The following is a 16,030-nucleotide window of genomic DNA, read 5'->3' on the forward strand; positions in this document are numbered from 1 at the left end:
CTGTAGGTGAGACATGCTGGCAGCAATACTGCTCTTTAATGCACCGAGATGTTTATGTATGTGCACATCAAAGCACAGCACCTCTTTCTTAACCTTGTTTATGACACAGAGACATTTGTTCACATGTTTTCCTGCTGACCATCTCCCCACTATTACCGTATTGTCCTGCCACATCCCCCTCTCCGAGATGGTAGAGATAATGATCAATAAATACTGAGGGAACTCAGAGACCCGTGCCAGCGCGAGTCCTCCGTATGCCGAGCGCCGGGCATGTGGAGGGATAGGCCACCCCTTCAATGCTTATATATACAGATATATTACTCTACTATCCATTTTACAATACATATGAATGCATACATATACAGTAGTGCCCTCTTACTAGGGGTTTCATTTACCCATGATCGCCTTTGAAAATAAGTGACCACAGTATAATAAGAGATATTGAGAAAGAGAGAGAGACCACATTCACATAACTTTTATTACAGTATTTTGTTATAATTACCTTACTTTGTTATTAGTTATCATTGTGTTTTTTGTTTGTTTGTTTATTTGAGATGGAGTTTAGCTCTTGTTGCCCAGGCTGGAGTGCAGTGGCACTATCTCAGCTCACTGCAACCTCTGCCTCCTGGGTTCCCGGGTTCAAGCGATTCTCCTGCCTCAGCCTCCCCAGTAGCTGGGATTACAGGCGCCCACCACAATGCCCAGCTCATTTTTGTATTTTTAGTAGAGATGGGCTTTTGCCATGTTGACCAGGCTGCCTCGAGCTCCTGACCTCAGGTGATCCACCCGCTTCAGCCTCCCAAAGTGCTGGGATTACAGGCATGAGCCACCATGCCAGGCCAGTTATTATTGTTAATCTCTTACTATGCCTAATTTATAAATTAAATATATCATTACCATATAAGTTCATACAGGAAAAAACATAAAATATAGGGAGTTTGGTATCAACTGTGTTTTCAGGCATCCACTGGGGATCCTAGAGTGTATTCCCTTTGGATAAGGAAGGACTACTATATAACTAAAATGAGTAAAATGTTATTAAGATAATAAAATTTGTTTTTCTTTAATTTGTTTTTTTAATGTCAAATTGTTCTGAATTATGCTACTAGGACCTATCTTTTGTGTGTTAAGTTGCAGTTCATTTATTTTCACTGCTTTATGATATTCCATTGTGGCCATCATTTTTTGAATCAGTTTTCCCATTGAAAGTTATTTCGTTATTTATTACCTATTATAAATAGAAGAAATACAATGAATATTCTTGGAAATGTCTTCTGGCACGTAACATAAAATTTATCTTGCATGTATACCTAGCTCTGGGTTTTGTGAGTCATAGGTTATGCGAATATCCCACTTAATAAAACAATGCTAAATTGTTTTCTGAAGTGGTTTTACTGATTTCCACTTCTACCAGCATTGTATAAAATATTACTTTGATTGACAATGGGTATTGTCAGACTTCTCGGCTTTTTCCAATCAAGTGATTGTAGAATAATTTCTCATTATGTTCCTAATTTGCATTTTTCTTGTTAGTAGTGAGATTGATAGTTACTCATATGGCTATTATATATATATATGTTCAAGTCTACTGCTGTTGAAATTTTCTCTTAATGATATATAGATGTTCTTTATATATGCTTGTTTGAAATTCTTTGTTGGTTAAATGTGGTGTACATATTTTCTCCTAGTTTTTAGGTTTCATTTACATATTTTAAAGGTGTATTTTGATAAACAGAACTTTCTGATATTAATATAGACAAAAGTATTAGTCTTTGTAGTCATGATCACGACTTCCTGTGTTCGTTTAAGAAATCCTTTCATATCTTGAGGTGAGAAAGATATTCTTCTGTTTTTTTACAAGTTTAAATTTTTTTCTTTTGGTATTTAAATGCTTAAATTCATCTGTAGCTTAGTTACATACATGGTCTTAGCTAGAGATCTAATTTTTAACTTAGGCATAGTACATATTTTATCTACATTTATTGAACAATACATTCTTTCATCAGTAATTTGCTATGCTACCTCGTTTCTATACACAATTCTCACAAGAGCCTGCTTCTGAGCTGTCTATTCTGTTCCACTGGTCACACACTCATTAAGGCAGTGTGATCTCTGTATACACATAACACTGTCTTAATTAGTTGTACTTTTTATAAATCTTTCTATAGGCCCCTCCTAAATATACTCTTTCAAAAATATATTGGACCATCTAGCCAATTCACAAGTCTATACACACTTTTGAAAACACTATTTTACTGTGAAATAGAACATACTTACAGAGATGTGCATAAAATATAAATGTGCAGCTGCATAACATATTATAATGTAAACACCAAGAAATAGAACAAAGCTTCCTTCACAGAAGTTTTCCAAATGCTTCTTTTCAATCACAATCTCTTTCTTCTTTCTGAATGTAATCAGTTTGTTACTTTTATTGATAATCACTACCCTGTCATGCTTTATAAGTGTGCATTAGTAATGTAGTATAATTTTCCTGCTTTAGAATATTTTGTTAGCGGAAAAATATAGCATTATTTTGTATCTGGCTTCTTTTGAACAACGTTAAGCTTTTAAGATACCTTCGTGTTGTAACATTTAGGTATAGTTCATTCATTTTTATTTCTGTATAGTATTCTACTGTATGAATGTAACCACAATTAATTTATCTGATAGCAATTTAGGTGTTTTCAGTTTGGAGCTATTAAGAATAGCATCTCCATGAATTGTTGCAAATATGCATACATTTCTCTAGAGTAATACTGAGACTAAAATTTATGAGTCATAAAGGATGCACAAATTAAAATTTAATAGAAAATGCTGAAATGAATGAGTGAATTTGAACATATATAAGAAATATATACAAGTTCTTATTCTTCTATGTTTTCATCCACATCTACTGAGTTTTTGTTTTGAGTGAGTTTTTGTTTTATTAATTTTTTAGCCATTCTGATGGATGGGTAGTGGTATATCACAATTTAAAATTGTGTTTATTTGCTTACTAATAATATTGAGTCCATTTCCATATGTTTTATGGCTAAACATATTTTTCCCTTGTAATTGCCCATTTTTCCTTTTTGATGTCTCTTTTTCTCTTTGAATTGTTGGATTCCCTTATATTCTACATAATCTTTTATTGGTAATATTTGTTTTACATATTTTCTCTAACTGTGTGGTTTGTCTTTTCACACTCAATGGTAGCACCCCTCTCTCTCTCTCTCCCTCTTGTTGTGTGTTTGTGTCTATATATACAAATATATATGTATATATTTCCCAAGAATGGAAATTTTGAATATAAATATAATCAAATTTCTTGATATTTTCCTTTGTGATTGGTGCATTTTGTATACTGTTTGCAAAATCTTTTCCTACCCCGAAGCATAAAAGAATTTTTCTGCATTATATTCTAAAAGTTGCTCATGGCTTATATATTATATATTTGGTACTCTTTTATAGTTAAGTGTATACTCCATGTGAAATTGCTATTTTGGCATATGGTGTAAGGTCGGGGCCAAGATTCTTCCCCAGCCCCTCTCCCCTACAACTCTGGATATCAAACTGTTTCCATTTGTTTATTAAAAAGACTTTCTGCCCATTACTCTGAAATTGCACCTTTCTCTCAAATTAAGTGTCAATGTGGATATGGTTCTGTTTTTTTCTTATGGCATATTTTTTGTACTATTTATACTTGGTCAACATTATACTATTTTTTATACAAACATTTTAAGTTCTCATACCATATTTTAAAGCTCCTAGAGCATATCATCTGTTTTTAGATCTCTGCATTTCTATATCATATTTTAAATAATCTTTTCAATTTATACATACACGTACATACACACATATGTGAATGACAGGTTTTGATTACAATTGCTTTAAAACTATGAACAATCAGAGGGAAATCTGTATCTCTACATTGTGGATTCTTTCAATCTATGAAAACGGTGTCTTTTCATTATTAGTTATTCCCAGGATGTTTTATAGTCATCTGTGTAGTGGTATTTAAATCTCTCTATAAAGACTGAATTTCATATATAGAAATCTTATATACATTTATTCTTAGATATTTGTTACTTGAGATGCTATTGTAAAAGATATCATTCAGATTTCATTTTTGGTGTGTGTCAAGCATTTATAAATAAAATATATTGTTTGGTATAATGAATTTGTACTTAAAGAAACAATAAACTCTGTCTTGATTTCCATATGGATTTTATTAAATCTTCAGAACAAAGTGATGGGAACAGATATCTTTATGACGTCAATTCTTTCTTTCCATGAAAATGAGCTATCTCCATTTATTTCTGTCGTTGAGCTGACTTTTGATGCAATTTTATAATTTCTGCATTTCTTTAACAGTTTCGTTACAGATATTTAACCAAAAACTTTATACTTTTGTAAATGTTAAAACTGATCTATTTTTACAAAGTGTTTTCTTTAACTTTTTGGCTGTCGTGTAAATATGTAATTGACTCTCGTATATTAGGCTTTTATCCATGCAGATGTAAAGATGTTTAAATATTAAAATATCTTTGTGTTACTAAGGTAAGTCAAATCTTATATTTATGCTCTGTTGAGTTTGGGCTTCTTATATTTTTAGTTTTTTTTCACAAACTAAAATGTGAGGAAATGGTAATTTAAACTTTCTATTCTTCTGCTATACCTCACAAATTTTTGGTATAAAAATATGCTAAATATAATACTCAAATGAAATGAGCTAGAAAACATTCTGTGTTTTTCTCTTCTCTGAAAGAATTTTTATGTTTAACACATTCTACTATTTAAGCAAACTCACTTATTAATCTGTCTAAGCTGAATAGGATAATTTTTAAATGACCCCTCTAATCACTAAACTATTTGTAACTTATCTTTTTTCTTGAGTTTGCTTTAGTAAGATAAGCTTTTACTTTTTTTGGAAGTAAATTTGACAAGATTCTTTCTTGCCTTTAAAAGAATCTGTAGTACCTGCTATGATAGCCCTTTTTTATTCATAGTGCTGGGATTTTTGTCTACTCTTTCTTTTTAGTTGAAAGGACATCTATTTTGCCAGAGGTTATCTCTTTTACTAGGTATTTAACAGAGCCAACTTATGTGATTGTGGATTCTTTTTGTCTCTGTATTGATTTTGGCTTTCATTTTTATTTTCACCTTTGTACTCCAGTTATTCTGCTGTTCTTAACTTCTCAAACTGGACAATTGATTCATTTATTTTTCACCCTCCTTATTTTCCAATATATACATTTAAGACTAGAAATTGCCCTCAGATTATTCCTTTGTCTGTGTTCCTCAATTTTGATATATAATGTTATCCTATCATTCATTCCTGCATATTTAAAAAATTTATTGATTTCTTCTTGGAGCCATAAAACATATAAGTTTTATTTCCAACTTCCAAGTATATATGTTTTATACTTTTGTTTAAATTATCTACAATATGTTTAGAGAAAATTTTCTGTATGATGTTGGCTGGGTGCAGTGGCTCACACCTGTAATCCCAGCACTTTGGGAGGCTGAGGCAGGCAGATCACTTGAGGTCAGGAGTTCAAGACCAGCCTGGCCAACATGGTGAAACCCCATCTCTACTAAAAATACAAAAATTAGCCAGGCGCGGTGGCAGGCACTGTAATCCCAGCTACTTGGGAGGCTGAGACAGGAGAAATGCTTGAACCCAAGAGATAGAGGTTGCAGTGAGCCGAGATCGCGTGCCACTGCACTCCAGCCTGGGCGACAGAGCAAGACATCATCTCAAAGAAAAAAGAAAAAGAAAAAAAGAAAAAAAATTCTATATGATGTTAATTCTTTAAAAGTTGATAAGAATCAGTTTGTATCCTAACACCACATGCTTGTATCAGTCATCTTTTACTATAAAAACAAATATCCAATTTTTCATGGTTTGCAACAACAAAACTTTTATTTAACTCACGGTAGAAAGGCTGAGCATCAGCTCCAGTTGTGTTCAACTCAGCTGCGCTCAGGTGAGATCCCCATTTTTTCCCATTCACCCTATGGTGAAGGATCAGCATCTATCTGGGACATGCTGTCCTCATGATAAACAGCTGAAACTCCTAAGGCCAAACTAAACCACATAAGCGAATTATAGTTATTTATTGGTGCCTGGATTGTTCACATTCTCTTGGACAAAGCAAGTCATTTGACCAAGTGTGACATTGGGGCAGGGGCATATAATCAATGTACCTGGAGGCATGACACAAATGGGAATAATAATACTTTTAAAGATGAGGACAATAGTAAAATCTACCATAATGGTTGAAAAGAATGTCTATTCTAATTTTTCTTTGAAGAATTGAAAGAAAAATATATGGGTTCATTTGACTCTGCCTATTAGTTGTGTTGTTCAAATCTCTGTGTCTTTACAGATCTGTCTACTTGACATAACAGTAACTGAGAAAAGTTTACCAAGAAGATAAAACATTTATATTTAATAAAGTAGCCTCATTTGTATGAAACAAAATCTATTGAATGTATTAAATTAAGTAAACAAATCTATCATCATGATGGGACATTTCAAAACACTTCCTGTCTCTGGCTAAAGGAAATCTTGCTGAATGGTTAGGCTTGAGGAATTTACTTTTGTGTAAATTTTCGAAGGTAGCTTTTGTCTTTTATTAAAGACAAAAAATGAAAAATAAAGAGAATATTTAATGTCTGAATCTCCTTCTATGTAATTTAACTGTTCAGACTATTTTCAATAGTTTCAAATGGTTTTAGCTATGAAAAGACAAATTGTTTTTAAAGTTCAAAACATTAAATTTTTATGTTTAGAAAGGATTTATGAGTCTCAAATTGTTGACACATTTTATTTTAGATTGTTATTTTGTCACTTGTAGCACATTTACATGCAAAGATGTAGATTATCTCCCAAAGGCCATAGGTGAATAGAAAGAAGTTAAGAGAGACATAGCTTTTGCCTATTAAAAAACCCAGAATTTGAAAGTTTAGGTTACACCAGTGATAATAATGAGTGTAAATTAAAAGATGGTCAGGAACTTGACAAAATGATAGTTGATTAGATGGCTTGGTATTTCCTACATAGATTGCTTCAATAGATAACTTTTAGCTGAAAGAATTCATTTTACTTCTAATAACAGTTAAAATTTACAGAACAGGGCAATGCAACCCCCCAAAAAAATACCATTTCAGAATTCTGTGTGTGTGTGTGAGAATAGTTTTGCTGCTCCAATTTAAAATATCCTATTGTTTGATTCTAGTTTTGTCATTAATACCCAATGTAATTTTCGTAAGCATATTCTCCAAAAGGTTTTAATTTCGACAGAGTTTCTGTTACAATGTGCATTTCCAATCTTTGGCAGAGGGCAGGTCATAGTCAGAGGGGAGACTTGGCCTGTCCTCAATGAACTTTTCAGATTCTCTGTTGATATGGTTTATGTTAGAGTAGGAAACAAGCAAATTTGGGTACTTTACAAAACTCTTGGCATATATCCTTCCACCGTGTGGAAAAACATGAGATTTCATTTACAGAAAGCTCTTCAGACCATATACTGCCGCCTCAGGCATAAATACAGTCAATGTGAATTCTTCACAGTTGGTCATATCCTGAACCATACTCGATAAGTGACTCGAAATACATCTAATATACTGTTTTTAACTCATGCTGTCTATTTCTCTCTCTCTCTTTTTTTTTTTTTTTTTTATTTTGAGATGGAATCTCACTCTGTAGCCCAGGCTGGAGTGCAGTGGCATGATCCCAGCTTACCGCAACCTCCGCCTCCTGGGTTCAAGCGATTCTCCTGCCTCAGCCTCCCGAGTAGCAGGAACTACAGGCGCGTGCCGCCACACCTGGCTAATTTTTTGTGTTTTTAGTAGAGAGGGGATTTCACCATGTTAGCCAGGATGGTCTTAATCTCCTGATCTCATTATCTGCCCGCCTGGGCCTCCCAAAGTGCCGGGATTACAGGCATGAGCCACCACGCCCTGCCTGTGCTATTTCTTATGTTGTCTTCCTTCAAATTATCTATTGACAATAAAACTAATCTCAGCTTCCTAATGTATTCTGCCAAGCCAAGAATGTGTTTATGCAATCATTCATTCAACAAATTGTATTGTGAACACCTAATGTGTGTCAGGGACTCTGTTGGGTACCGGAGATACATCCAGTGCAAGACAGTCACTATTCCTTCTGTCATAGAGTTCTTTGAGTAAGTTTTACTTCCTTTGAGAGTCCGTGGCGGGTGGGGGCGGGGAAGAAAATTCTTTGACTTTCATATTCATCCTTCAGATGCTTGATATTTTCCTTTTGTAGGATAAAGAATGACCCTGAAAATGTTATGGGGATGATTTTATTTTGTTCATGGCCCAGAGGTACCTCAAAGAAAGGGTTTAATTACAGATCCATTTCTATTGCTGGACACAAATTTTAGCTGGTGGGGTCTAATTCCAACTCACCTGGCAAGTTGAGAGTGGGTTCTTACTTGACAAGTGCATAAAAATGACCAAGCTAGTGAATGATCCTCAAGGAACTCCCCCCTCAAATGAATGGAGTTCTTAGGCTTCTTTTTCCAACAGTCCCAGCAGACAAAAGTAAGAGACTAGCATTCTTGCATACTCTTGTGCTCCTAACACTGGAATACAAAGCCACCAAGGATGGCTGGGTCATGACAGAGATACATAAAGAAAGCCACATTGTAAACATCAGGCTATTTCCTGAACAGTTTCATTGAGTAGTAAATAATTTACATATTTATTGTTATATCAAAGCAAATAGGGTTATATAATCAAGTAAATGAAAATTTCACATGAATTTTAAGATAATGATAATTGTTAATACTTAAAAAATAGTTCCTAGGTGCTAGACACCATGTTATATACTTCACATGGGTTAAGTCATGTTAGTGCTCTGCTATGGTTTGGCTGTGTCCCCACCCAAAATCTCAACTTGAATTATAATCCCCGTAATCCCTATGTGGCAAGGGAGAGACCAGGTGGAGGTATTTGAATCACAGGGAAAGTTTCCCCCATCCTGTTCTCGTGATAGGGAGTGAGTTCTCCCAAAATCTGGTGGTTTTATAAGGTAGTTTTCCCTGCTCTCTCTTGCGCTTTTCTCCTTCCTAGTGCCATGTGAGGAAGGTGCCTTGCTTCCTCTTTGCCTTCCACTGTGGTTGTAAGTTTCCTAGGGATCCCCTGCCATGCTGAACTGTGAGTCAATTAAACCTCTTTCCCTTACAAATTACCCAATCTTGGGCAGTTCTTATAGCAGTGTGAAAACAGACTAATACATTATCCTAATAATGAGGTAGGTACATTTTACAGAAAGGAGACTAAGACAGGTAAATGTCAACAAAATTGCTCAAAGTGATAATGTGGTAAATGCTGGGGCCAGAATTTAAAGCCAGGCAATCTGATTCAGAACCTATGTTCTTAACCACTGTGTTATGTAATTAAATATGCAACTTTAAGGAAATGGCTGATGGCTGAAGGTCAGTGTTACTATTTGCTTTTTTTTTTCTATCAAAAAGAGACATAGCAGATGAATCAAATTGTGCTTTACATGATCCTGCTACCACTGCTTTCTGTTTTATTCTCAACCCAGAACTCAATAGCCGTACAAGAATCAGTCACTATCCCAATCCCAACCCATCTTTCACTAGCTTCTGGTACAAAACTTCAGGGCATGACTCTTCATGACATCATTTCTCACATAAAGAAATGACAGTTCCTGTCTTGCCTGTTGTTGCTCAACTTAAATCCAAAACCCTTTCACCTGTCCTTTCCCCAGTCTCTTCTAATCAGGCAGTTTGTCACTCAGCAATGCCATCACTTTGCTCTTGCCAGGCAAAACTCTTCTCCTGCTCTTGCCTCATCCTGTGAACTTTTGACTTTCTGTGAGCTCACTCCAATTTTAACAGATTGACATTTTTTCTATCCTAACCAAGTACATCTAAGAAAATGAACGTGGCAAAATCTTACTTGGTGATCTTGGGAAAATATAGAACTTTTTTTCAAGACTGATCTTCCCTTCAAAGCCAAACTGTTTTCCATGGAGGGAGATCCCATTTCAAAATGTGTTTGAACCAGTTTAGCTCATCTCAGTTTGAAACTGTAATTTATCTTGGGAGATAGGCATGAATGGTAGACCCTAGTGAAAATGTAAAGGTTTTCATAACCACCGGATCAATAGAAAATGCATTTATGAAGGTTTGGATTTGTTTTCAGAAGCTGAGAAAGGCGAAAACCCTGATTTACGAACTAAGGATTAAGGTGAGTTATGGGCAGTAGGCGAGACAATGTTGGGCTTTTTTTTTTTTCTTTTTCTGCAAAATGAGTCATCTCCAAAGCCAAAACAAAGAGAATCCTTTCACTAAGTTCAAAGCGAAGAGTTGCACTTGAGTTAAAAGACTTAAGTTATTTCATATTCTTTCTAATTTTATCACACAATATTTCGATTTTCAATGTGAGATTAGAACCATGGATAATGTGGGTTGCAGTGCTCCCGAGTGATACATAAATTACAGGTAATTTCATGAAGATTGGAAGGAAGCTATTGTGTGAATGAGAGAGGATAGAGATATTATTACCAAAACCTTAAGAAAATCGATTAAGGAAAAGAATTTTCTTGCAGAAGGGGAGATAATATTTAATAATTGCAATATTTGCTTCTTAGGGTTTTAAAATTCTTAACATAAATAGATATAGCAATTATTATGCCAAAAAAGCCCTCCAGTTAGTCAACTATAAGCGTACTCTGTCGTTTTTGACATGCAGTTGCTGTGAAAATATTAGGAACATATATCCAGCAAAACCAACTACAACTCATCAGTGGCTTGGGTTTCTAAATATGAAATGGAAATGAAAATAGTTCCTGATACATAGTATATTAGAATCTGATTATGTCATGTTAGTAAGAAGATAGGATTAAGAAGAGCCCTTCCGGCTGGGTACGGTGGCTCAAGCCTGTAATCCCAGCATTTTAGGAGGCTGATGCAGGTTTATCATGAGGTTAAGAGATCAAGACCATCCTGGCCAACATGGTGAAACCCCGTATCTACTAAAAGTACAAAAATTAGCTAGGCGCGGTGGCGCATACCTGTAGTCCCCACTACTCAGGAGGCTGAGGCAAGAGAATCACTTGAACCCAGGAGGTAGAGGTTGCAGTGAACCGAGATTGCGCCACTGCACTCCAGCCTGGTGACAGAGCGAGACTCCATCTCAAAAAAAAGAAAAAAAAAAAAAAGAAAAGAAAAGCGCTTCCAAATTTTGAGTTTTGGCAATAATTTTATTGGACATTTTGAAGGTAGAAGGGATTTCTTATTAGGTAATAAAGAAGCAAGTAAAACTCACTTCAAAAAGCATTTCCCTAGTCTATAGAAAATTTCTGAGACCCAGTCCATCTAATCAGTAGGAGCACATGTATACTGTGTAATCAATATTTATGCAAAGTGAAACAAAGCTATACAATTCTGGAAAACGACCATCCATTAGACCTTTGTCTAGTACCTAAGAAAGCCATCCTCTGGCTCCCCAACTAGTGTCTCGCACCATTTATAATATGCCATCACATTTTACTGTGAAGTTGACAGTAAAGGTGATATATTGTTGATGTGCTGCCTCACAAAGCGTGCAATATTCATGGAAAGGAGATAGTGTTTTTCTCAGGTTATAGGTGGAGCGTACAAATATACTCGGTCCCTGCCAGGGTTATTAATATTTTCTCTGATTATGGTTTCTATAGCAGATTGCCAAAATATTGTTCTACACTGTTTACACTGTGATTGAATGTGATTCATCTAAGAGGAGAAAGAAGGACAGGCTTGGGCATCAGAACACCAGCAGGCAACTTGGTATAAGATGTGAAAAGAATGCAGGATTTGGAGTGCTTGGCTCTGGTTTGTATTGGTTCATAGCTTCCGTAGAGAAAGTTACTTGTTAGACCTCAGTCTTTCTGTTGTTACAATTAGGAAAATGAGAATCATCACTTCTTTAATTCTTAAAAGTTTTTGTAAGGACATAAGACTATAATCTGTGGTACACACTGTATGTGTATTTGGTTTCTTATTTTTACTTGTCAGAGTGACACAAAATGAGAATATTTTGTATGGCTCTTTTTGTTCCTCAAATTACATCCAAGTAAATATGGAATTGGTTTTATGAAGGCTGCCACTCTTCTCCCAAAACTCTGGTTATTCATACCTTGCTCTGTGATTTCCAGAGCTGTCTTTTCTTTTCCTTTTTTTTCTTTTTTTTTTTTTTTTTGAGACGGAGTCTCGCTCTGTCGCTCAGGCTGGAGTGCAGTGATGCGATCTCGGCTCACTGCAAGCTCCGCCTCCGGGATTCACGCCATTCTCCTGCCTCAGCCTCCCGAGTGGCTGGGACTACAGGCGCCTTCCATTGCGCCTGGCTAATTTTTTTGTATTTTTAGTAGAGACGAGGTTTCACCGTATTAGCCAGGATGGTCTCGATCTCCTGACCTCGTGATCCCCCCGCCTCAGCCTCCCAAAGTGCTGGGATTACAGGCGTGAGCCACCGCGCCCGGCCCCAGAGCTATCTTTTATTTTTCCACTTCTGCTAACTTTACTCTCCTCATTCTCTTCTTTGGTCTCTATTTCTGTTTGATGTAGCCATACAGTAGCGTCACCACACGCAAGTCTGGCTGCTCCACTCAGAGGCTGAAAACACGAGAAGCGGGGTGTGATGAACAGAGAGCTACTTTATTCAAATGCCAAGATCTGGGAATGGCCAAGCTCATGCCCTTAAAAGACGATTTCAAACTTTCGACTGTGGAGAGGTGTTTATAAAGGGGAACTTAGAGTGGGAGGCATGCAGGAGTGGTGCTGGGTGCTAGGTGTCCGTGCCTTGGTCTGGTGGCTATCTTGAGTCATGGTCCACCTGGAACGCAGTCTAATGTTATCTTGACGATGGCTGGGTTGTAGACTAACAACCTGGAGGTCATTTCTGGAATTTTGCAGCTTGGTCTCCATGCCTGGTTCATCTCAATATTAGTCCCTGGAATTTCTAAGCAAACACATAATTAGATAAGCCAGCAGTGCAAGGGAGTGTCTGTTGGAAAGGTAGGGAAACGAAGCTTTAAACTGTGTTCCAAGGCTAAAAGTAAGAAAGGAAAAAGAAAAATTTCAAAATGCATTTTGAAGCCAAGCTATTGGTTACAGTAGTTCGCTTTTATCCACAGGGAATACATTCCAAGATTCCCAGTGGATACCTGAAACCTCGGATACTATAATACCAAACTCTATGTAATACCATATTTTTTTCCTATACACACATACCAATGATTAAGTTTAATTTATAAATTAGGCAAAGTAGGAGATTAGCAACAATAATCATAAAATAGAACAATTGTAATGATATACTGAAATAAACCTTATGTGAATGTGGTTCTCTCAAAATGGGTTACACTGTACTCAGCCTTCTTCTTTTGATGATGTGAGATGATACAATGCCTATATGAGGAGACAAAGTGAGGTGAATGATGTAAGCATTGTGAGGAAAGTGAGAAATGTCAAAAACAAACAACTCCTCAGTTTAGAAAGTGTGCCATTCTGAGCAGCATGATGAAATCTCATGCCGTCCTGCTCCATCCTGCCTGGATTGTCCTTAGTCTCTCAGCGATCTTGGTGATCAGATAAACTTTTACAGTACCATGGTGCTTGTTTTACTTAATAATGGCCCCAAAACACAAGAGTAGTGATGTAATACTTCTGGATCTCCACTGAATGCAGATAACAGAAACCTTAGAAAGCAGACTGTAAGTAAGGGAGGACCACTGTGTTGTTTTCAATTTAACAAAATTCCCCTGTAAAACATAGCAACATGATTTAAACACATGAAAATTATGAAGGTAGTACATTGGTCTCACCAAGAAGTGTTTATCCTAGTTCAAAATGAGAGCCACTGTTCCTCCCTCCTTGGTCCTGGCAGCCCTCTTTCTTTGCAAAATGAAATCTTAGCACTCTAAGAGCTGAATTTTTGCCTGGTGTTCAGCTGTTGAATTATAACATCTATGTAATGTTTCTCCAATCCTGTGTTCTTCTATAGGAGTTAAGTGACATCTGTTTGATGTCTCTTTCAATCTGTTTTGGTTGAGGTAACTATCTTCCCTGATTAAGGAAATGAAAGATGAGACTGAAACAAGCTATAAACTGCCAAAGTACTTAATGCTGTGTCTACACTAATTATATACATGTAATATCAGACACTTTGCATGAAAGGATGCCTGCAGTCCCAGTGTGATCTACCTCATATGGAAATGAAGATGTGTTCAAAGCCAGGGTGCTCCACGGAATGGTTCTTTTGTTCATCTGAATTGTCAAACTTTCCATTTAAAACATTAAGTCTATTTGATGCTTCTCTCTTATTAAAACTAGCTCCTGTTTTCAGTAAATAACTTGTTACTGATGATGTTAGTCTTTGAATGCTCAGAATCCAGGCAAAAATCCTCCAGAGAATCCAAGGTCAATATTGATGTGTCCAAATAGCATGTTCTGCTGTTCCAAAGCAAATAAGATCTGAGACCCTTGGGACTATCACAGTGTTGTATTTAAACTGTAAAGTATGTAGGTACAACCTATGAACAGCATCAGCAAAACTAAACATAAAATCCCAATTTGACAATGAATAGATGTGCTGAGTTTTATATTACACTGAATATTGAGAATTACTCTTGTAATGCACTATTGGCTTCAAGGTTTATTTTTCTTAAAGTGTGTATTTAAGATCACAGTTATGTAAGCAGAGGCAGTGCTCTTACTGGCTGATCAGCCAGCCTCTGTATGTTGTTAATCAGTCTTTAAAAATCAGTGTTGAAACATATACATGCATAAATCACATTTGATCAAAGCACAACAATTAGTACTGAGCCACATGGCTGGGGACTAAAAAAACAGTATGAACTAGAAAATTCAGGCATCCTGGTCAAAAGAAACTAAACACTCTTACACTTACAAATCTTTTTGCTTAAAATTTATTATGTCTTGCTAATAATGGAATCTAACCTCATAGCCCAATTAAAAATAACAGTATGATAACAGTCCTTTACTTTTTATACAATGTTTTGTACACCTCAGTTTAATGATATTCAAAAATAGTGTTAAGAGCAGAATCTTGCTATAAACAAAATACAATGCAAAGAGAAGGCCCATCTATTTTATTAATATAACAAATTAAGCTAGAGATATTATGGTGGAGGTGAGACATTTGAGGCAAGGGCATAGTAACACATAGCCTCTATAGTCTACAAGAGATCTGAAAGACCCTTCTTTCTTGGGAATCCTTAAGACTCTGTCCAGCATAATTTTAAAATCACTGCATTTGATTTATCTTCATAACTGCCTCAAGAGCATGTGTTGTCTCAGAGAAAGCTAAGCCTGAGTGATGTATGGAAATTTGCCCTACTTCTTCTGCCAGAAATACTGAGTTTTCCAAATCCAATGTGTATGCCTTTTTTTAAAACACAACTTTTATCTACAAGAGAACATAGCAGATACATGCTAATAAAATAGAGATTACTATAGGAGAGAGTGAATATAGATGACTGTTGAGTGGCCAAACATAATTAATTTGGTGTAATGATTACAGGAATACCTATTCGGACCTGAGAAATAGCATTTGGACCTGAGAAATGCTGACAATCAAGATCCTATCAGTAAACCTGTAAGATAACAGCCTTCTATGAATCATTTAAATTAGAGAAAGGTGATTTTTCTGAATTTAAAAATGTTGAGGTATAAATAAATATAAACATTTTCTAACTTAAGAGTGTGATCTCCATGTGCGTATTCTGGTCCGTTTCACTGGTTTTGTGCTCAATGTGGACTTTTCTGTTTGTTGCTGGCAAATCTACCCTTTATTGACTATTCATGTACCTATATAGCTTTTAGTTAATAGCATTTTAAGGCCATCTCTTTGTGAGAAGAAAAAAAATCAGTGTCTTTAATCATTCACACACTTCTATGGAAAATTCAGTGTAAGGGGGAGGATTTTAAACTTTCTTTCTGTATCCCCCTCAACCCCTTTTTTTTATTTTTTATTTTTTACCAGAGTA

At 35.8% G+C, this 16,030-nt stretch overlaps 1 long non-coding RNA gene across 1 annotated transcript; it reads right to left on the reverse strand.

Moving 5' to 3' along the window:
• Positions 12,660–13,429, reverse strand: LOC105370608 (uncharacterized). The gene is made up of 2 exons (XR_001750934.2): positions 13,351–13,429; positions 12,660–12,984 (listed from the first exon to the last, which is right to left on the reverse strand). It is a non-coding gene; the product is annotated as an uncharacterized LOC105370608 (long non-coding RNA).
• Between the last annotated feature and the right edge of the window lie 2,601 nt (positions 13,430–16,030).

The sequence above is a fragment of the Homo sapiens genome, chromosome 14, assembly GCF_000001405.40.
Source record: "Homo sapiens chromosome 14, GRCh38.p14 Primary Assembly".
NCBI classification, from domain to species: Eukaryota; Metazoa; Chordata; class Mammalia; order Primates; family Hominidae; genus Homo; species Homo sapiens.